This window comes from Homo sapiens, chromosome 18 (genome assembly GCF_000001405.40).
Source record: "Homo sapiens chromosome 18, GRCh38.p14 Primary Assembly".
NCBI classification, from domain to species: domain Eukaryota; kingdom Metazoa; phylum Chordata; class Mammalia; order Primates; family Hominidae; genus Homo; species Homo sapiens.
The window spans coordinates 67,427,885-67,452,272 of record NC_000018.10 but is presented as its reverse complement, the minus strand read 5'-3'; the positions used below and the strand labels follow the sequence as shown (position 1 = coordinate 67,452,272).

Sequence of the window (24,388 nt, the reverse complement as noted above, 5' to 3'; positions counted from 1 at the left end):
ACTGAATATCTGAAATGAGGAAACAGAAGGCACAATTTCTGCTTGCTCTAGAAATGAGAAACTATGCTTATCAGGCACAGTCTCTCTTAATAGAAGGGACTGATGACCTTATATGGGTTTAGAGGAAGTATGGGGGTGAAGATTGGTGTATCTTCAACTGGGTAGAAGCATTATTACTCATGTGAGACTATTTAATGTTTGATATTCTGAAATATGTTTCTTGGAGTGAATCCCTTCTTGCCTGGGTGGCTTTCAGAAGGAAAGGACTATTGCTCACTGGTTAACTTGCAATAGAGATCATGTTTATTAAGGAGAGATTTTGTTTGTTTTAGTTTGGTTTCAACTGATAGATCAGTTTAATACCAGTTCTGTTGGCTTTGGAACAATATCAGTCTTTCCTAGAATGTGTGAAATTTCAAAAACTGTTGAACTCTCCTTTCCATTCTCGCTCAGCTGATGCTACAGGAAGCCCATCAAGACTTGTTCAGATCTTCATGTTGTGATTCTTATTGAAAATGTGATTCTGTCTGCAGAAATAATTATTTTCAGCTTAAGCATTAATCAGCAGCATTTTATGCTCTTTGTTTTTTCTATTTGAAAGATTTGTTGAATCATCTTCTGGTAAAGTTTAGAGACAGGACATTTTATCTTAGGATAACAGACATTGAATAACTGTGAGACAAGTAAGTACAACTAAGAATATTATAAGAAGGGGCACAATTGAGGTGGGAGGTTTCAAGATGGCCGAATAGGAACAGCTCCAGTCTACAGCTCCCAGCATGAGTGACATAGAAGACGGGTGATTTCTGCATTTCCAACTGAGCAAAGAGCACACCAGGAGACTATATCCCACGCCTGGCTCAGAGGGTCCCACGCCCATGGAGCTTTGCTCACTGCTAGCTCAGCAGTCTGAGACCGAACTGCAAGGTGGCAGCGAGGCTGGGGGAGGGGTGCCCGCCCTTGCTGAGGCTTGAGTAGGTAAACAAGGCAGCCAGGAAGCTCGAACTGGGTGGAGCCCACCGCAGCTCAAGGAGGCCTGCCTGCCTCTGCAGACTTCACCTCTGGGGGCAGGGCATAGCTGAACAAAAGGCAGCAGAAACTTCTGCAGACTTAAACGTCCTTGTCTGACAGCTTTGAAGAGAGTAGTGGATCTTCCATAACGGAGTTTGAGATCTGAGAATGGAAAGACTGCCTCTTCAAGTCGGTCCCTGACCCCCAAGTAGCCTAACTGGGAGGCATCTCCCAGTAGGGGCTGACTGACACCTCACACGGCCGAGTGCCCCTCTGAGATGAAGCTTCCAGAGGAATGATCAGGCAGCAACATTTACCATTCTGCAATATTTACGGTTCTGCAGCCTCCGCTGGTGATACCCAGGCAAACAGGGTCTGAAGCAGACCTGCAGCAAACTCCAACAGACCTGTAGCTGAGGGTCCTGACTGTTAGAAGGAAAACTAACAAACAGAAAGGGCATCCACACCAAAACCCCATCTGTACATCAACATTATCAAAGACCAAAGGTAGATAAACCACAAAGAAGGGGGGAGAAACCAGAGCAGAAAAGCTGAAAATTCTAAAAATCAGAGTGCCTCTTCTCCAAAGGAACACAGCTCCTTACCAGCAGTGGAACAAAGCTGGACAGAGAATGACTCTGACGATTTGAGAGAAGAAGGCTTTAGAAGATTGGTAATAACAAACTTCTCTGAGCTAAAGGAGGGTGTTTGAACCCATCACAAAGAAGCTAAAAACCTTGAAAAAAGATTAGACGAATGTCTGACTAGAATAACCAGCGTAGAGAAGACCTTAAATGACCTGACGGAGCTGAAAACCATGGTATGAGAACTACGTGACACATGCACAAGCTTCAGTAGCTGATTTGAAGAAAGGGTATCAGTGATTGAAGATCAAATAAATGAACTGAAGCGAGAAGAGAAGTTTAGAGAAAAAAGAGTAAAAAGAAATGAACAAAGCCTCCAAGAAATATGGGACTACGTGAAAAGACCAAATCTATATCTGATTGGTGTACCTGAAAGTGATGGGGAGAATTGAACCAAGTTGGAAAACACTCTTCAGGATATTATCCAGGAGAACTTCCCCAACCTAGCAAGGCAGGCCAACATTCAAATTCAGTAAATACAGAGAACACCACAAAGATACTCCCTGAGAAGAGCAACTCCAAGACACATAATTGTCATATTCACCAAAGTTGAAATGAAGGAAAAAATGTTAAGGGCAGCCAGAGAGAAAGGTTGGGTTACCCACAAAGGAAAGCCAATCAGACTAACAGCAGATCTCTTGACAAAAACTCTACAAGCCAGAAGACAGTGGGGGCCAATATTCAACATTCTTAAAGAAAAGAATTTTTAACCCAGAATTTCATACCCAGCCAAACTAAGCTTCATAAGTGAAGGAGAAATAAAATCCTTTACAGACAAGCAAATGCTGAGAGATTTTGTCACCACCAGGCCTGCCCTAAAAGAGCTCCTGAAGGAAGCACTAAACATGGAAAGGAACAAGCAGTACCAGCTACAGCAAAAACATGCCAAATTGTAAAGATCATCAAGGCTAGGAAGAAACTGCATCAACTAATGAGCAAAATAACTAGCTAATATCATGATGACAGGATCAAATTCACACATAACAATATTAACCTTAAATGTAAATGGGCTAAATGCTCCAATTAAAAGACACAGACTGGCAAATTGGATAAAGAGTCAAGACCCATCAGTGTGCTATATTCAGAAGACCCATCTCATGTGCAGAGACACACATAGGCTCAAAATAAAGGGATGGAGGAAAATCTACCAAGCAAATGGAAAACAAAAAAAAAGCAGGGGTTGCAATCCTAGTCTCTGATAAAACAGACTTTAAACCAACAAAGATCAGAAGAGACAAAGAAGGCCATTACATAATGGTAAAGGGATCAATTCAACAAGGCTAACTATCCTCAATATATATGCACCCAATACAGGAGCACCCAGATTCATAAAGCAAGTCCTTAGAGACCTACAAAGAGACTTAGACTCTCACGCAATAATAATGGGAGACTTTAACACCCCACTGTCAACATTAGACAGATCCACAAGGCAGAAAGTTAACAAACATATCCAGGAATTGAACTCAGCTCTGCACCAAGCAGACCTAATACATATCTACAAAACTCTCCACCCCAAATCAACAGAATATACATTCTTCTCAGCACCACATCACACACTTATTCCAAAATTGACCACATAGTTGGAAGTAAAGCACTCCTCAGCAAACATAAAAGAACAGAAATTATAACAAACTGTCTTTCAGACCACAGTGCAATCAAACTAGAACTCAGGATTAATAAACTCACTCAAAACCGCTCAACTACATGGAAACTGAACAACCTGCTCCTGAATGACTACTGGGTACATAACGAAATGAAAGCAGAAATAAAGATGTTCCTTGAAACCAATGAGAACAAAGACACAACATACCAGAATCTCTGGGACAAATTTAAGGCAATGTGTAGAGGGAAATTTATAGCACTAAATGCCCACAAAAGAAAGCAGGGAAGATCTAAAATTGACACCTTAACATCACAATTAAAAGAACTAGAGAAGCAAGAGCAAACACATTCAAAAGCTAGCAGAAGGAAAGAAATAACTAAGATCAGAGCAGAACTGAAGGAGATAGAGACACAAAAAAACCCTTCAAAAAATCAGTGAATCCAGGAGCTAATTTTTTTGAAAAGATCAACAAAATTGATAGATCGCTAGCAAGACTAATGAAGAAAAGAGAGAAGAATCAAATAGACACAATAAAAAATGATAAAGGGGATATCACCATCGATCCCACAGAGATGCAAACTACCATCAGAGAATACTATAAACACCTCTACACAAATAAACTAGAAAATCTAGAATAAATAGATAAATTCCTGGACACATACACCCTCCCAAGACTAAACCAGGAAGAAGTTGAATCCCTGAATAGACTAATAACAGGCTCTGAAATTGAGGCAATAATTAAGAGCCTATCAACCAAAACATGTCCAGGACCAGACAGATTCACAGCTGAATTCTACCAGAGGTACAAAGAGGAGCTGGTACTATTCCTTCTGAAAATATTCCAATGAATAGGAAAAGAGGTAATCCTCCCTAACTCATTTTATGAGGCCAGCATCATCCGGAAACCAAAGCCTGGCAGAGACATAAAAGAGAATTTTAGACCAATATCACTGATGAACATCGATGCAAATATCCTCAATAAAATACTGGCAAACCGAATCCAGCAGCACATCAAAAAGCTTATCCACCATGATCAAGTGGGCTTCATCCCTGTGATGCAAGGCGGGTTCAACATATGCAAATCAATAAATGTAATCCATCGTATAAACATAACCAAAGACAAAAACCACATGATTGTCTCAATAGATGCAGAAAAGTTCTTCCACAAAATTCAACAGCCTTTCATGCTAAAAACTCTCAATAAATTAGGTATTGATGGGACGTATCTCAAAATAATAAGAGCTATTTATGACAAACCCACAGCCAATATCATACTGAATGGGCAAAAACTGGAAGCATTCCCTTTGAAAACTGGCACAAGACAGGGATGCCCTCTCTCACAACTCCTATACAACGTAGTGTTGGAAGTTCTGGCCAGGTCAATAAGGCAGGAGAAAGAAATAAAGGGTATTCAATTAGAAAAAGAGGAAATCAAATTGTCCCTGTTTGCAGATGACATGATTGTATATTTAGGAAACCCCATTGTCTCAGCCCAAAATCTCCTTAAGCTGATAAGCAACTTCAGCAAATTCTCAGGATACAAAATCAATGTGCAAAAATCACAGGCATTCCTATACACCAATAACAGACAAACAGAGAGCTAAATCATGAGTGAACTCCCATTCACAATTGCTTCAAAGAGAATAAAATACCTAGGAATCCAACTTACAAGAGATGTGAGGGATCTCTTCAAGGAGAATTACAAACCACTGCTTAACAAAATAAAACAGGACACAAACAAATGGAAGAACATTTCATGCTCATGGCTAGGAAGAATCAATATTGTGAAAATGGCCATACCGCCCAAGGTAATTTATAGATTCAATACCATCCCCATCAAGCTACCAATGACTTTATTCACAGAATTGGAAAAAACTACTTTAAAGTTCATATGCAACCCAAAAAGAGCCCGCATTGTCAAGACAATCCTAAGCCAAAAGAACAAAGCTGGAGGCATCATGCTACCTGACTTCAACCTATACTACAAGGCTACAGTAACCAAAACAGCATGGTACTGCTACCAAAACAGAGATATAGACCAATGGAACAGAACAGAGCCCTCAGAAGAAGTACCACACATCTACAACCATCTGATCTATGACAAAGTTGACAAAAACAAGAAATGGGGAAAGGATTCCCTATTTAATAAATGGTGCTGGGAAAACTGGCTAGCCATATGTAGAAAGCTGAAACGATCCCTTCCTTACACCTTATACAAAAATTAATTCAAGATGGATTAAAGACTTAAATATCAGACCTAAAACCGTAAAAACCCTAGAAGAAAACCTAGGCAATACCATTCAGGACATAGGCATGGGCAAGGACTTCATGTCTAAAACACCAAAAGCAATGGCAACAAAAGCCAAAATTGACAAATGGGATCTAATTAAACTAAAGAGCTTCTGCACTGCAAAAGAAACTACTGTCAGAGTATTGTAGTCCAGAACAATAAATATCTAATAAAATAATTCTGCAGCACATTTGTATATTTCTTCTTGTGGTTTAGAAAAATCTGTAACTACAGTCCTCAATTTGACCTGACGCCCTGAGTTCGAACAGCCATCTTACATCATGGAGTAACCCTGGGCAAGTAAGCTAAATGCTAAAGGCATTCAGAGAAGAAAAATAGAAAATTCCTTGTAGATTCTGGATAGTAGACCTTTGTCAGACAGATAGATTGCAAAAATTTTCTTCCACTCTGTAGTTTGCCTGTTCACTCTGATGATAGTTTCTTTTGCTGTACAGAAACTCTTTGTTTAATTAGATCTCATTTGTCAATCTTTGCTTTTGTTGCAATTGCTTTTGGTGATTTCATAATGAAATCTTTGCCCATGCTTATGTCCTTAATGGTATTGCCTAGATATACTTCTAGAGTTTCTACAGTTTTGTGTTTACATTTTTCTTGAATACATCTTGAGTTACTTTTTGTAGAAGGTGTAAGGAAGGGATCCAGTTTCAATTTTCTGCATATGGCTAGCCAGTTCTCCCAGCACCATTTATTAAATAGGGAATCCATTCCCCATTGCTTGTTTTTGTCAGGTTTGTGAAAGATCAGATGGTTGTAGATGTGCGGTCTTATTTCTGAGTTCTCTGTTCTATTCCATTGGAAATTTACAAGGAAAAAAACACAACCCCATTAAAAAGTGGGCAAAGGACATGAATAGACACTTCTCAAAAGAAGACATTCATGTGGCCAACAAACATGAAAAATGGTCAACATCACCGATCATTAGGGAAATGCAAATCAAAACCAAAATGAGATACCACCTCACACCAGTCAGAATGGCAATTATTAAAAAGTCAAGAAACAACAGATGCTGGTGAGGCTGTGGAGAAATAGGAAGAGGAACACGCTTTTTTTCTTTTTTTTTTTTTTTTTGTTTGAGATGGACTTTACTCTGTCGCACAGGCTGGAGTGCAGGGGCGCGATCTTGGCTCATTGCAACCTCTGCCTCCTGGAGTCAAGTGATTCTCCTGCCTCAGCCTACCGAGTAGCTGGGATTACAGGCGCCCGCCACCATGCCCAGCTAATTTTTGTATTTTTAGTAGAGATGAGGTTTCACCATGTTGGCTAGGCTGGTCTCGACCTCCGGAACTCAGGTGATCTGTCCACCTTGGCCTCCCAAAGTGCTGGGATTACAGGCATGAACCACCACGCACACCTGGCCAATAGGAACACTCTTACACTGTTGATGGGAATGTAAATTAGTTCAACCATTGTGGAAAATTCCTCAAAGATATAGAACCAGAAATACCATTTAACCCAGCAATCCCAAAGAAATATAAATCATTCTATTAAAAAGAGACATACACATGTATGTTTATTGCAGCACTATTCACAATAGCAAAGACACAGAATCAACCCAAATGCCTATCAATGATAGACTGGATAAAGAAAATGTGACACATATATACTACCATGGAATACTACACAGCTATCAAAAGGAATGAGATCATGTCCTTTGCAGGGACATGCGTAGTGCTGGAAGCCATCAGCCTCAGCAAACTAATGCAGGAACAGAAAACCAAACACCACATGTTCTCACTCATAAGTGGGAGCTGAACAATGAGAACACATGGACATGGGGAGGGGAACAACACACATTGGGGCCTGTCAGGGGTTGGGGTGGGAGGAGGAAGAGCATTAGGAAAAATAGCTAATGCATGCTGAACTTAATATCTAGGTGATGGTTTGATAGGTGCAGCAAATCTGGCACACGTTTACCTATGTAACAAACCTGGACGTCCTGCACATGTACCCCACAACTTAAAATAGAAATAAAAATTTAAAAAAGAGAAAGAAAATTCCTTGGTTAGTGACTTCACAGTTTTCCTTCAATATCAGCTTTTGACCAGCTACCACTGAACTTCCTTTACTTGAGAATAAACCTGGTTTCTGAAATCACTATATTTGAGTCCTTTCATCAGCAACTAAACTTGGATTCAAACTAATAGAAAATTTTAAAGTAAATATAAGCAAACATAATGCAAAGTACAGTTGACCTTTGATCAACACAGGATTGAGCTGTGCAGGTCCACTCCTATGCAGATCTTCCACCTTTGCTACCCCTGAGACAGCAACACCAACCCCTCCTCTTCAGCCTCCTCCTCAGCTCACTCAACATGGCGAAGAGAATGAAGGCTTTTATGATGATCCACTTCCACTTAATGAATAGTAAATATATTTTCTTTTCCTTATGGTTTTCTTGATAACATTTTCTTTCCCCTAAACTTTTGATAGAGAAAAGAATGTTTACTTTATTGTAAGAATACAATAGATAACACATATAGCATACAATATATGTGTCAATTAACTGTGTGTTTTGTTGGTAAGGCTTCCAGTAAACAGTAGGCTATGAGTAGTTAAGTTTTTGGGAACTCAAAATTTATACACAGATGTTGAACTGCATAAGGGGGTGATCAGCACCCTTAACCCCACATTGTTCAAGGAGCAACTGCAAATATAAATATAAACAAGAATAGTAGGTAATGAATTGCAGGTTAATAGGCTAGAAACAAAACAGCAATAAAACAGAAACCTTTAGGCAGCACAGATGAAAAAGAATGTAGTAGTCTTTCAGGTTGCTTCATGACTACTGTTGGAGTTGCATGAGGAAGTGGGGAAAACTTCATCCTAACAAAATACATAAAGAATCTGCATTTGGTAATATCTTAATGATGCTCCTTTCTCTGCAGGTTAGATAGCATTGTTGCAGAATACAAATAGAAGCAAGAAATGAAATCTCTAATTTCTCTAATGAAATGAAGACCTCTTTTTTAAAGGAATGTCTTTGTAAGATTATTAATAGAACATGTCTGAATATTTCTTAAAAATTCAGTGTTTTTAATGTAGTTGAAAAATTAGGAGAACTTAGAAATGCTGTTCTTAGCAAATGCTGCCGTATGTAGCGTGTACTGTCCACAAATATTCCCTCCTCGTTTTCTTCCTGCTTGTTTTTTTCTTCATTATTATTACTGATATTCTTAACTCAGTTGCACAATTTGGTCTTTTTAGACATGTAACTTTCTTCACTGTTAATTAAGGGTTTGGACGAGATCTTTGTGGACTCTACTAGTTCTGGCCTTTTATATTATTATGCTTCATATAACATTATGAAAGGATGTTAATGTCATAGAAGTAATAATTACAAAAAATCTGGAAGATATATAGGATATAATGGAAATTAAAATCTTCTTCCTAGGCGTTAGTAATTTATAATGAATAGTATTATGGTACTTTTTCAGATGGGTCAGTTGTTTCTAGAAATCTTGGAATAAATTCAATTTAAATAGATTTAACTGAAAAATATCAACTTTACAAGATCTTTAATACTATAGATACATGTATATGCTATACAGTCTGTATATACTATGTTGTGTATATATATAATATATGTTTGCTATTCATTATGTAATACTACATTACATATAATGTCAACTTGGTATTCATTTATTCATTTATTAACAAATATAAATACTGCTTGAGCTCTTGATACAGTTCTAGATGTAGTATTACTTCTGTGACAAAGAACAGAAGACAATTTCACAATAATCTCTGAAGAGCTTTCCGTACTTCTCTCCAGTGGGAGAGAGATTGAGAGCCTTCCCCAGTCTAGATTCTCATTTCCTTCTCACTTTTGGACAGATCACTACACTTCTATTTACCAAGGCACATTTCTGTAACCTTTTATCCACTTTCTGAAACAGTTCCTGTCCTCCTATTCATGTGAAGAATGTGCATTATCTACTATTCCATAAAGAAAGAATATCAGTCTATGAAGGGCATCCTCAATGGCCCCACACAAAGTTTTGGTCAGCTTGGGTGAGAGAGCTGGTGTTCTATTCAGTTTCTTTTTTTCTTATAAATCACTGTGGACACATCAATACTATATAATGCTTTTTATAAATCTAATATCACAAAATAAACACAGGTAGCAGCATCCCAACAACAGTGCCAATAAATGAGCAAAACAACAACACATCCCTTGTTTCATATTTAGCATTCCTAAGGAATATTTTTATCAAAAATTAAAATAAATCTTTTATCTATTTAAATTTGTTCTTGCAAGTTCTAATCTCAGTCTTTTCTGACCTAAATGCAGAAGTGAAAATATGAATGAAAAAGCAAAAATGTGATATATACATACAATAAAATATTATGCATCCTTTAAAGGAAGGAAATTCTGACACACACTACAACATGGATGAACCTTGAGGACATTATGCTTAGCAAAACAAGCCAGTCACAGAAGAACAAATACTTTATGATTTCACTGATGTGAAGTTATTAGAAGACAGTTATCCCCCCTTATCTGTGGTTGTACTTTCAGAGGTTTTGTTTACCTGTGGTCAACTACGACCTGAAAATGTTAAATTCATAGTGTATTAGTCTGTTCTCATGCTGGCAACAAAGACATACCCAAGACTGGATAATTGATAAAGCAAAGTTTAATCAACTAACACTTCCACATGGCTGGGGAGGCCTCATAATCATGGCAGAAGGCAAAGGAGTAGCAAAGTCACGTTTTACATGGTGGCAGGCAAGAGAACTTATGCAGGAGAACTCCCATTTATAAAACCATCAGATCTCATGAGACTTATTCACTACCGCAAGAACAGTATGGGGGAAACTACTCCCATGATCCAATTATCTCCACGTGGCCCGGTGCTTAATACATGGGGATCATGACAATTCAAGGTGAGATTTGGGTGGGGATACTGCCAAAACATATCAGATAGTTCCAGAATAAGTTTTAAGTTGCACATGGTTCTGAGTAGCCTGATCAAATCTTGCATCATCTTGTTCCCTTCTTCCTGGGATCCAAATCATGTCTTTGTCCACCCTGTATATGCTACCTACACCCATTAGTTAGTCACTTAGCAGCCATCTTGGTTATCAGTTCAACCGTCCTTTTTTTTAACTTTTATTTTAGGTTGGGGGTACATGTGAAGGTTTGTTACAGAGGTAAACGTGTGTCACAGGGGTTTGTTGTACATATTATTTCATTAATACCCAGGTATTAAGTCCAGTACCCAATAGCTATCTTTTATGCTGCTTTCCCCACTCAAGTAGATCAGCTGTCACAGTATCACAATGCTTGCATTCGAGTAATCCGTTTAACTCAGGTGGTCAATTTTATTACTAGTAATTGTTGTTAATCTCTTATGGTTCCTAATTTATAAATTAAACTCTATCATAAATATGTATGTATAGGAAAAACATTATATATTGGCTTCAGTACTATGCTTAGTTTCAGACATCCACTGGGGAGCTTGGAACAGATCCTCCACAGATAAGAGGGGAATAGTCAAAATCATACAGAAGAAAAGTAGAATGGTGGTTTCCAGGGCATAAGGGATTGGAGTACTGGAAAGTTGGTATTTAATGAGTATAGAATTTAATTTTTCAAGTTGAAAATAGATGAAGATCGATGGTGGTAATGCTTGCACAACATTATAAATGTATTTAATACAACTGAACTGTACACTTAAAATGGTTAAGACGGTAAGTTTTATGTTATTCATATTCTAACAGAATTTTAAAAATGAAAAAAAGAATGTCAGGGTTGATGTTTATTTGTGTGTGTGCATGTGTGTGTGTGTGTGTGCATACATGAAAGTTGTATTTTTGTTGTGTTTACATTTTTACACATCTCAATTATGCCAGTCTCCTCAGATAAAAACACCTAGGGAGTTTCTAGAATTTCTGATTTTTGAAATCTTAGAAAAGAAGAAAGCGAACTATTCTTTGAAAGTGGTTTCTTTTTTAGTGAATTTTTGATGCTCATTTAAATTTATGTTCATATTAATGTTTTTTTCTAATTTATAATGATAAGGTTTCATAATTTATTCATTTCAAAGTGATAGGATTTAAGTAGTATTGTTCCTTAATATATGAAAGATGGTTAAGCCACAACCCTATTAACATAACATAACAGTGAATCTTCAGTAAAAAGATTCTATCTATCATTTGCTTTGGTTCTCACATAACTTCCTAATCTTGTTTCATTTTCGTTTTAAAAGAAGAGACTACTATACTAAAACACACCAAAGTGACTTTGATAAAACTTTGAAAATTTATATATTATGCCATTATTACACCTTTTATATTACAGAGTCATTTTTTAAAGACAGTAATTTCTGAGAGAAAATCATTAGGCTTTGGGCTCTACTTGTAGCTTTCTGCACTGTCATAAATACTTCTTCATAAACAGTCAGGTTTCACTAGTCTCCAGGAACTAACCAAGTCCAATTAAAATTAATAAGCAGATTGCATTGGATAATGGCAATTTTCAAAGTTCTCCCTACCAATGCTTCTGGGAATCCCATATGACCTCTAGCATCAGAGCAGGTGATTACCTGTTGCTACCTGTCTGCTGTTTAATTCCCGACACCAGGCTGTTGTTTGATTCCACAGTTCTGAGCAAAAGATATAAATATAGGTTCAGATCCCTGCTGACAATTATGCCTACCAAGACTTTCCATCCCCATGACATCACAGACTGACCAGAGCTATGGCAAATTGAGGAGGAGAATAATTATCTTTCTCTATGTCTCTCTATTGAAAGAGTTCCACAGTGAGGGTATTGAGCTGTGTGGTGTCAGACATCATAGTGAGGCAGTTATTTTAGATTTGCCTTTATCTATTTTCCCAAGATGCATACACACTTCTGAGGCGACTGTGTTGGAAAGGGTTCAAATAGCAGTAGCCAGGTTGTGAATATATCAGACTGCCCATTGTTCCACAAGGTTTATTGCTCATTCTTCCTCACTGCAGCCAATTCCTTGCTTTATAATAAAATCTTTCTTGAAATCTGGCTTCTGTCACTCTGCTCCTTCATTTTCATAAGCGTGTCCCAATTATAGCTGTGGTCCTACACTGCCAATTTGACTTATATATCTCTTCCTCTGGTGTGTGTGTTTGTGTGTATTTGCTTAATTTATTTTATAAGACAATAAGAATCAAAATCAGTTTTTATTCTTTTTTGTGAATTACCTATGTTATGTAGTATAAATGTATGTATATGTATTTATGTAGGTATTATGTATTCATATGTCTATGTATGCATTTATGCATTTACTTATATACTATTTAAAAGTGTGTGTGCATGTGTTCCTATGACAGAGACAAGATAGTATTAGGTTTTTGTTTGTACATTTTTATGTGTGTGTTTTGTTATTCTCTTAGGAGAAAACATACTTTTCTCTCAAAGAAAAACCAACAATAATTAAATGCAGCAGTTTCTAAATCTTGCTGGTGGTAGCATCATGCAGTAAAACATTCACTATATTTGGCTTACTTATATTCAAATCCAGTTTCGAGAGAAACTTACAGTTCTACATGAAACTGTTTATAGTTTTCTATGTTCCACTTTCTAATTATTGCCCCCCAATGTCTAAGTGTAGTCTTTACTTTGGAATAATCTCATTATACTTAGGCACACAATTTTTTATTGAAGTTATTTTGCAACAACAGATTCTCAAGAAAACATTAACCACCAAAACCGAAACAAGCAAAAGAAAACAAAGCATTGTTTCTTATTATTACATAGAAATGATATTTCCATTAAAAACATTTATGTCTGCCACCAGATGGTTCATTATTTATCTTCTGAGTCCCTATGTAAGATTAGCTGGTAACCATATTGAGTGCAAAAATAATGAAAGGTTTTGGTCTAGCCTGATTCTTCACAGTGAATCACATAGGTATAAGCTCCCCAGTTTATACCCTAAAATTTTCCCTTTAGAGCAGTCATGAATCCTCAAACAAAAGAAAAATTACTCCCCAAATCCATTTGGAAGATCTGTGATCTGGTGATCACAGGCTACTCACGACTGTGTGAGGACATCTAACTTGGCCTCTGACATCAAAGCAACTCCAGGTGATGCTGTGTCCTTGAATATAACCTAGCTTCCAACACAGACTTGCCTAGGCACATTTTGAAGGCAGAAGACAACTTTCCCCATAGACTTTCTATTTCAATGTGTTTTCAGGATCCCTGAAAAAAAATACAAAATCTATTCTTTACTCCTGGAAAACACACAAGCAATATTTAGATTAAGAAAATAATACCATATTCTTTGAATGGTATAAAAATACTGATGAGGAGTGAGGAAACAGAAATACACAACTTATTTGCTATCCTGTTTGTTTTTAATTTATAACTTTGATAAGCAGTGACAATGATTATGTAGAATCTCTAAACTTGGGCATGCATGCAAACTAAATGAGTAAAAGTATATTTTAAAATATTATATTAGCTTGACCAACTGCTGCTATTATTATTAATAAGGATTTATGGTTCTGGAAGTAAAGATGTTACACTTAACTTTATGACAGTAATGATAATTATAATGATTCTTGGTGGAATGGAAACCTTGAACTGTGTTGGAAAGTTTACGCAAAGAAATGGACGAGGCCAAGGTTTTCATCCCCTACGTAATGGGAATGATATTTAAACTGGCCCAATTGTTCCATAAAACTAATGTTTATGGTTTCTTTTGAATAAACACAGAAATTGACCCTCCCAGTCTTGAAATTTGAGAAAGTTACCTTTGTCTTATCTGAGTTCCTTTCTCAGGAAACCAACCATCAGCCCTCCCAGATAATATCAAAGAGCTGAAACTCACCAGATCACCGCATATGGACAATGAGAAACCAGACCCCTTACCCATCATGATGGCCAAAGCGCCCAACTGCTTCTTATTGATCCACTCTTCTTTCTAACCCCTCCCCAGTTCCTGTTTTCCCACACATGGTTACGTTTCTTCCCTGTTATATAAACCCCTAATTTTAGTCTGTCAGGAGACCAATTTGAGACTGATCTGCTCTCCTCAGCTGAAGCACCCAGTTAAAGCCTTCCTGCCTGGAAATACTCATTATCTCAGTGATTGGCTCCCTGTGCAGTGAGCATCAGAACCTTGCCATTTTGGTAACAATATTCCATCAACCATTTTCACATCTTTATATTTTACTTCTTACCATTAAGCTGCTGGTAATGTCAATAAATAACTTAACATTGGGGAAAAAGGCACATTCATACTTGAACAAAAAGCAAGCCTATATGGTGTACCTGTTGCCAATACTCAGCTTGAAAAATCAGAACAAAAAAACTTGACAAACACTGTTAAGATCCGTTGCACACTTATGCAAAGACAAAGGGAAAATGAAGTCTGCTGTTATATCTGGCTAGAAAGCATACCACAGAATCATAATGTCTCAATATCAATTCTCTTTGAACATGTGGAGGGAACAGCCAAGCTGAAAAGTGGCTGAATTTGCTTTAAAGGATAGTTCTTGGGAAGTGGTGAGAGGACAAAGGAGTTACTGAATCTGAGAATGCTAGGTTAAATGCAAGAGAATGTATTGTGGATATGAGGACAAACTGGTGGAGACTCTGGAAAAGCCACTGGATAAGATATTTAGATAACAGCTGAGACAGAGATATTGGAGAAGTCAGGCCTGGTGTCTCATACTGATCTAGAGACAAGCATGTCTGTGGGAGCAGAGGTTTATTCTGCAGTTATATCCTTTTGGCTCTCAGACTTAGACTCCTTGGAAGATTTTAGCACAAATTAAAACTTAAACTTGAGTTCTTTATTTTTACTTTTTATTTTTTTTGAGATGCAGTCTTACTCTGTTGCCCAGGCTGGAGTGCAGTGGTGTAAAAGATCTCGGATCACTGCAACCTTCCACCACCCTGGTTCAAGTGATTCTCCTGCCTCAGCCTCCTGAGTAGCTGGGATTACAGGTGCGCACCACCACACCCGGCTAATTTTTGTATTTTTAGTAAAGACGAGATTTCACCATATTAGTCATACTTGTCTCGAACTCCTGACCTCATGATCCACCCACCTCGGCCTCCCAAAGGGCTGGGATTACAGGCATGAGCTACTGTACTCGGGCTAAACTTGAGTTCTTTGAGCAATGTGACTGTTCTTTTAATGTAGCCCAGATGTCACTCTCCTTAGCCCTTCCTGTGGATTGACTGAAAACAGGCACATCAATACATATGGTGAACAAAATATCTTTGTGAGTGTGTGTGTGTGTGTGTGTGTGTGTGTGTGTAAGGTTGTTTTGAGTTGCTTGATTTCTCTCTGTTTTAGTTTTCTCTCTTTAATAGCAAACTGGAAAGTAAAAAGTAAAACCTCCTCTGTAGTTCTTTCCAATCAGAGAAATATGGGCACACTCAATGGTGAAAGGAATGAGTGTATTATGAGCAAATCAAGGATGTCCTTGCTAACCACTTTTGTACATTTGCATGGGAATGTTCACAAATGTACTCTCCTCCATTTTCTGTATTGTATGTTAGTGCAGTTTTGTGGTGACAATTATTTCAATTATTATGCACAATTTTTATACATTCCAATAACAATTGATACTGGAAAAGAAGCTCCCCAATACCCTAAGCCATTGTTCTATCTTTGGCTATAACTAGTACAATATTTAGACAAATGCCATTGATAAGGAAATATAATATTGCAGAGGTAGATATGTTTAACCATAGAAAATGAAATTAATCTATCATTGTACTAATATGCTAATGGCAATTTTTATTTATAAACACGTGGCCCTGCTTGCTCTTTTACTCTGGGGAATATGCTGAAGTCTCTTGGATGTTCAAGTACATTGATTGGCTACTGCTGACAAAGTTTTGCAGTGTAGAAACTTGCTGGTGTTAGTAGCCTTGCTATTTCTGCTGTGGTATTTAAAAACTAAAAGGAAGAAAAAACAAATGATGTTACTGAAATTTTTCACCAAAGTTTTTGAAATCATTTTTTTATTTAAGAAGTTTTGCAGGAAAGTTCTATTTTATAGTCCACTAGCATAGCATTATAATACTTTTGTGAGGCATTTCAAAGCCTATATTCTTTTCTGAGACTTTGTCTTTTTATGCACTAACTTTAAAAGACTGGTTTTATATTACAAAAACTCAGGCAAGACTGGAAAAACCCTTCAAGAAGCCACCCTCTATGAGTGCATTGTGTGCTGCTTTGAAGTCGAATGTTGCCTTTGAAGACTTTTGCATCTTTGGACACAGACTTTTCTAATATATTTGTAATCAAAAGAGATTGAAAATGGTGGTTGTCTTTTATCACTGGAGACTATCTACTAAAAATATACCTATTGACACTATCCAAAATTTATAGTTTAAATTTCTGTTAGTAACCAAGATTTCCTTTTGAAAAGTGATTCCCTTTTTGCCTGTGGATAATGCCAGTTTATGTAGGCATTGTTTTGTTTTATTTTGCTTTTCTGCCAAGTATTACCCCATCAATCATTATTTTATTAATTCACACAAAAATATTTGCAGGGGTTACTTTATATTAGAATATTTGCTGAAAATAATGAAGATAGGTATGAGTGATAAGTTGTAGTAATAGTGATAGCTGTTTTTAACCAATGTCAAAAGACAAAGTTACAACACATTTAGTTACAAATCGAATTGGCTTTTACAAAATACAGTGAAAGCTCCCACTGGGCAATAGCAGAGCAGTGGCTTTTGTAAGGTGGAAACAAGTAAACAGAACAATAATAGTAATAAAAACCCCCAATTGGTGAAGTTAGATTACTTTAGGTTACTTTTTTGTAAGAATTAAAGCAGAGGGGGCTTCTTCATTATGCTCACTCCGGTAGACTGTATTCGCCTGTTTTTAAGAAAAGCTGATCCGTTTCAGGGTCTATCTGCTTCCTTATAATCTCTGATTATGTGGCATTTAGCATGAGTGACTCCATTTTGGTTTGGTCAGCTCTGTCGGGGCTTAGTGTAAGGACTGAGTGCAAATAATGACCTCTATAATTTTTGTTTAACATCATAGAAACAGGAAATTGCAACAGAGTGTGTAAGGTTTACTTGATTAGGGTATGTATAGGATGCTATAGGAATAGAGAGGAGAAAGGAAGATCCCACTTTCAAGACTGAAGAAGTTTTAGGAAATGAATGTTGGGAGACCATTCTCCATGGGTGTCTCAATTAACTGTAGTCTTGCAAAAAGAAGTACTGACTGCTTTTGTTCTGGATTACCTTTTAATCATCTTTGTATAGCAAACAGCCTTGGAAGATAGAGATAGTGTTTCCCTCCAGAGTAAAGGACAGGCTTGTTTGCTGTCCAGTGTAATAAAGATAATGTTTTCCTCCAGAACAAAGGTCAGACATACTTTTTGCTGATTATAAGATTTGGATTCTCTAAATGCAGGGTTCTTGTGCTGTGACACAACTCACTGGGTGGTGAGGATATCATGTGAACCTATTTGCTTTACTCCGCCAGAGCTGAATTCAGGGAAATAGTGCAAATGCTGATATTCTGCCTAATACTTCCGCTGTATTAAACTAGCCTTAACCTCTGACCCGGTGGTGGTCCCATGTCTTTGATCAGCAGCCATGAAACTTTAGCAGGCTGACCTGTTAGCTTGCAAGTAGATAAACACCCACACCCTTCAGAAACCCTTCACAGCTTTTGATAATGGGACATAAATTCTTGAATTTTGATGTCCCGAATCCTATCTGCTATTGAATCCCATCTACTATCGTATTATGTTATATATTTTTTAAAGAAAATAAACTGAGTATGAATAAATAGCTTTCTTTTTTTCTCACTTCATAATCTCTTGAACATTTGTAACTTAATTTAAAAAATATACAAAAGGGATATGATTCACATTAAAGTTAAACCCTTAAACTTTCGGATACCCCTATTTTAAAAGTTTCATGACATGTAACAAGGAATTAAGGCATTGGTTAGACATCAGTTTCCTTCATGTTTTATTCTCGTCGTGGTTAACACCTTGCTTTTCCTTCATGACTCTTTTTCACATTGCTTTTACTTTTGGTAGAAATGTTAATCAGATTGTCTTTCTGAAATTTGTATTATCAGCTTTGTAATTGAGGAATATACAGCCAATTTCTTCGGATGGCGGCATTCTCAAGGAATTAATTCCTTATTGTTCAGAAAATCTAGAATAATTTCTTCATTCCTGGCCTTGCTGTTACCTGCCTGGTCAGCATTCTCTTTTTAGTGATGTAACTATATTATCATTATTTCAAAAAATACCAGGTACCCACCTCTTCCCACTATTTTTTCTTTAAGTTGACTGCATTATCTTTAAATTGTTTTTAATTCCAAATTAATAAATGATACATTGAGAATTTCTTAAAGTTCAGTTTGTATTATCTTATTCTGATAAGTACAAAAAGGAGAACAAAATAGAATCTGAACCTTAGTTTTAGTTATTATAATAGAAAATAGTTACAACCCAGTACAAATTATTCAGAAGCTAATCACAAATTGTTTTGTTCTCAGTGTCATTAAACTTTATCTTCCTAGTGTAGAAAACACAGTTGAGCTAATTTGTGTCTGGTGTCTAAAATGGGAATTTTGGGAGTAAATAAGTCAATGTGAACTGATACATCCTGTTCTTGTTGTAAAACTGTTTGACAACAACGTTTCGCCTGTGCTTCTGAAAATAGGACTGGGGCGGGATGGAGGGATGATCCCATATGTGGATGGAATGCTGATGACATAGAGTGACATTTGCTGCCGTGAACACTCTGCTTGTTTGTATAAGACCTTGAGCACTAACTAAAGTATTTGGTTTTTTTTTAATTTTTCATTTTGAATAACCTCCAAGCCTTGGTCCTAAAGATGTTATTAGCATCTTATGAAATACTTAAAGTATAATACCTGAATCTAGAATCAAGGGTATAAAATAAAAACCTGGGTAGTTGGTGCCACTAGTTCCTTCTTTGTTTTTTGTTTTGTTTTGTTTTTTAATTAATAGGCAGCCATTTCTTTACATAAATCATGGGAATAAAAATGTTTAATTTGATCAATACATAGATTGTTTCAGGAAAAATATACCCACTCAAACATATGTGTGCATGTGTGTGCGCAGTGTGTTCTTACATACACACGTACACACACACACACACACAAACACAGACACATTTTTTCTTCCATGATGGTAACGTCTCTATTCATAAACTCAGGGATAAATGGCACACCTAGGATACCTACACCTGTATCCCTAGATGCTCCGTGAAATAGCTCTTACATTTAATTATATTAGTGCCACCTTGATCTCTCTAAGGGCTCACAGGACAAGATAGTGCCATGAAAAATGCTGATAGATTAACTTTATAGATGGTATTGCCATGGAAACATATGCACATGGGTGACAAGGCAGTGACACCAGTGACGATTACTTTTTGTGATTTGTTCTAAGTTGAGTGTAAACACTTTTATCTCATAAATTAACATATATTTTCCTTTTCTTATATTTCCCTTTTCTTATATTTCTTTTCCCCTTCTTTTAATTCTTGATTAAATTTTCTTATTTTGGTATTGTTATGTGGTAGTAAAAGAGTGTCTAAAACTTTATTCTTCACCTCAAATGGTATTCATTCTTAACCTCAAATGTATTTAGCTCTTGATACTGCTTTTAATACTTCTGTGCCAAACTACCATGTTCCATATCTAGTTATCAATCAATGCTTGAGTGCTGCAGTGCAAAAAATATAAGGGAGTTTCAATGTAGCGATGCCCTAACACTTATTCTAGAGAAATAGCATCTCATAGCTGTGCATGACAGTCAATAAATTATCAGGGGCAAAGGGAAATTTTAATTCAGAGAGAGGCTTCTGTATGGTAACGGGTGTATTTTGTGTGCTAAACATCGGTTGAGTAGCATGGTAGCAGTGACATAGAGATATGGCTGTTTTAAGTGATGAGGAGGAGCTCATCCTTGATGGAATCCCACAGATGACATCTGTGGACTTTGAGATTACTGGTGACAGAAAAGCGCCTCACAATGAGCATAGGCTAGTTATGCATTTCCAAAACGCAAGGACACCAGGAACACTGTATGAACTGCTAAACAATTTTTTTTTTTTTTTTTGAGACAGAGTCTTGCTGTGATGCCCAGGCTGGAGTGCAGTGGTGCGATCTCGGCTCACTGAAACCTCCACCTCCTGGGTTCAAGCGATTCTCCTGCCTCAACAAATCATTTTTATCCCCTCTACTGTCAGTTGTGAAACTACTTTTTGTCTTCTTCATTAAAAAATGGTCTAATGGCCTAGATTAGTTAGGAGTCATCTTGTAATGTGAAGCATTGAGATTCTTGAAAAGCAGGTGTCTCTCTTATTAAATATCAGAATACTGGCCGGGCACAGTGGCACATGCCTGTAATCCCAATACTTTGGGAGACTGAGGCGGGTGGATCACTTGAGACCAGGAGTTTGAGACCAGCCTGGCCAACATGGCGAAACCCCATCTCTACTAAAAATACAAAAATTAGCTTGGCATGGTGGTGCATGCCTATAGTCCCAGCTACTCCGAAGCTGGGGCAGGAGAATCGCTTGAACCTGGGAGTCAGAGGTTGCAGTGAGCCAAGAGATGGTGCCACTGCACTCCAGCCTGGGCGACAGAGTGAGACTCCATCTTTAAAAAATATGAAAAGAATTTTATATATATATATATATATATATATATATATATATATATATATATATATATACATACACACTAGCACATGGCCTGTTTCTTCCTGATCTGTGAAAACACTCTTGGTGGGGTGTGCTTTCATTGCCCTTTATCTGCTCATTCCTTTCCTTTTTTTCAGGGCTCAGATTGAACATCATACACAGAGATGAGAGCCCTCATTGCTATGTTTCATCAAGTACTCTGTTCATTTCCTTTGCAGCATTAATTACAATTACTAATTACTTCAATAATTAAAAATAAATGAATGCCCCCCCCCATACACACACACACAGCCAGACCCTCCCATGCACTCTGAAATGTAAATTTATGTGGACAGGAGGCATCTCTGCCTCGCTCTTATTTTCCCCAGGGCCTAGAGAGGTGTCTGAAAACCTATTATGTGTTCAATACATGTGTATTGAATACATGGACAAATGAAACAGCTTTACAATATTTTTCTATTTTAATACCAATTAACTTTGTAATATAGTAGTTTGGTTCCCAAATTCATTAATCTCTCTCTTCTTCTAATTAATTACTATTTTCATTACAAGATTTCTATTTTTATAAATGAGGCTATATTTCTTGTTTTCTTGACATTTCTGTTGAATTCTCTCTTTCAGGATTCTACTGCTATCTGGTGATTCTATAGCAACTTAGAGGTACAGTTTCTGGGTAGGGGGCTTAGGTCACAAATATCTCTCTCTAGAAAATTTTCCATGCCTGGTCTAGTGAATCAACAGACATTCCATCGTAGCTAAATCTGATTATGCATTTCAGTTACTGGATATGAAATGTGAACATTTATATCCAACAATGGATATAAATTGTTGGATATAAATGTTGTTGATATTAGTAAATATTTGGTAGAACATATGATTAAGGTAAAGCTTGCAAATTAAATGCATACAAAATGATATCTTGTATTTTTAAAATGAACTCATGGCTGGGCATGGTGGCTCATGCCTGTAATCCCAGCACTTTGGGAGGCTGAGTTGGGCGGTCATCTGAGGTCAGGAGTTTGAGACCAGTCTGGCCAACATGGTGAAACCCCGTCTCTGCTAAAAATCCAAAAATTAGCCAGGCGTGGTGTGGGCACCTGTAATCCCAGCTATTCAGGAGGATGAGGCAGGAGAATTGCTTGAACCCGGCAGGTGGAGGTTGCAGTGAGCCAAGATCACACCACTGCACTCCAGCCTGGGCATCAGAGCGAGACTCTGTCTCAAAAAATAAATAAATAAATAAATAATAAAGTAAAATGAACTTGTAAATAACAATATGCTCCCACAGTAAACATCAACATGTTTGGAAAAGCAATTCTTATTATTATTGTTACTATTATTATTTTTGAGATGGAGTCTCGCTCTGTCCCCCAGGCTAGTGTGCAGTGGCGCGATCTTGGCTCACTGCAAGCTCCGCCTCCCAGGTTCAGGCCATTCTCCTGCCTCAGCCTCCGGAGTAGCTGGGACTACAGGCACCCGCCACCACGCCTGGCTAATTTTTTTGTATTTTTTTAGTACAGACGGAGTTTCACCGTGTTAGTCAGGATGGTTTCGATCTCCTGACCTCGTGATCTGCCCACCTCAGCCTCCCAAAGTGCTGGGATTACAGGCGTGAGCCACCACACCCAGTGAAATTCTTATTTTTTTATGAATATGGTGAATTAAAATCTGTCAAAACAGATATTCGTGTCATTCATTTTTGTAACCAATCCACAACTCATATAATATACTTCACATAGTAGGCACCTTACCACCCCCACAACAACAAAAAAAGGTAAGTAACAGCTGCAAGCCAATCCAGAGAGCTGACTTCCTTCTTAGTTTAAACATATTTTATGAAGCAGGCGAATGCTCCATTCCATTTGCCTGATTCAATAAGAAGTTTAAAGTATTATATTTAAACAGAGGTAATATAAAACCATCTGCCAAGCCAGTCAAATGTTTTTCTTTTTCTTTTAATCACCACATAGGAAACATTTAGAACAATAAAAGTGGTAGAGATCAGTTTTTCAATCCACAGTGTGGTGATTCAGTGAACAAAATTGAAATCTGACGTTGTTGACATTTAAGATTATTGGTGGTCAGCTAGAGGGGAAAAAACAATATGTAACATGTTTCTCTACATGACTTATGTTTCTAGTTCCTGTAAAATGTCAAATTGAAGGTGACAAGGAGCAAGCTTTCTACTTCAAAATGTAACAAGAAAAGGCTCAAGCATGTGGTCTACAAAGACTTGCCGAACATCATTTTTACTGACAGCTAAACAGAGTTTTGCTTATTTCATGAAGGCAAATCCAAACAAACCTATTGAATTTTTATTACATTTACTTTTAAAAAAAAGCCAAGCTTAGTAATGGTATCTTTTCGGGATACCACTGTTGTTCTGTATTAACATATATATGAAGTATTTCCTATATATGAGGACCCATCTGATACTGATTTAACAGACCATAAAGGAAGTAGTAGTTCAACAATTCTGGCAAATGATTTTTTTTCCAAGGGGGTTTAGGATGCATTTCTCCTAATATATTCATTTATGTATTCGTCTAGAAAATAAAATGAGTAACTTGCTGTGGTAACCTTGGTATGTGGCAAAGAATAATAAGATAAAATCCCTGCCTTTAAGAAACTTACTGTTTGTTTAAGGAGAAATGCCATCATAATGCAGAATAGTAAATTCGTAAACAAGGCATATGGGAGCACTGAGGAAAGACACCAAACCTCAGTAATGTGTAAGGAATGGCTTACTGCAGTAAGTGATGCCACATTTGCAGAATGATCATGAGCTCTGCTAGCATAACAGATACCTAAATAAATTATTCCCCACTAGCCTATACCTCCTTTTCCTTATAGTTATTGAACATTTATTGATCTGCCAGCTATATTTTGACAACCTAATTCACTCTATTATGAACCAACAGAAAATCTGAAGACTTTTGTCACACAACAGATTCGAGGGATTGCCTTTTAGTTTTGTTTTTGAAAAAGACATATTTAGGTATTGAAAAAGCTAACAAAATCTAACTAGCTAACAAAAATCTTTAAGTTAATCTAACTTTTATTGTTCCTTTTCCATTTTGAGGCTGATCTTTTACTGGGTTGGAGAACATATGTAATGTATTTTTTTTCCTTTTTCAAATAAATGAAAA

At 37.1% G+C, this 24,388-nt stretch overlaps 2 annotated features.

The window, feature by feature from the left end:
- Positions 484 to 1,042: an enhancer, noted in NCBI's record as "H3K27ac-H3K4me1 hESC enhancer chr18:65118468-65119026 (GRCh37/hg19 assembly coordinates)". NCBI's record gives its function as "activates a minimal SCP1, AML or CMV promoter by ChIP-STARR-seq in naive H9 embryonic stem cells {active_cell/tissue: H9 hESC(naive)}" and the evidence as "EXISTENCE:reporter gene assay evidence [ECO:0000049][PMID:30033119]".
- Positions 1,043 to 1,602: an enhancer, noted in NCBI's record as "H3K27ac-H3K4me1 hESC enhancer chr18:65117908-65118467 (GRCh37/hg19 assembly coordinates)". NCBI's record gives its function as "activates a minimal SCP1, AML or CMV promoter by ChIP-STARR-seq in naive H9 embryonic stem cells {active_cell/tissue: H9 hESC(naive)}" and the evidence as "EXISTENCE:reporter gene assay evidence [ECO:0000049][PMID:30033119]".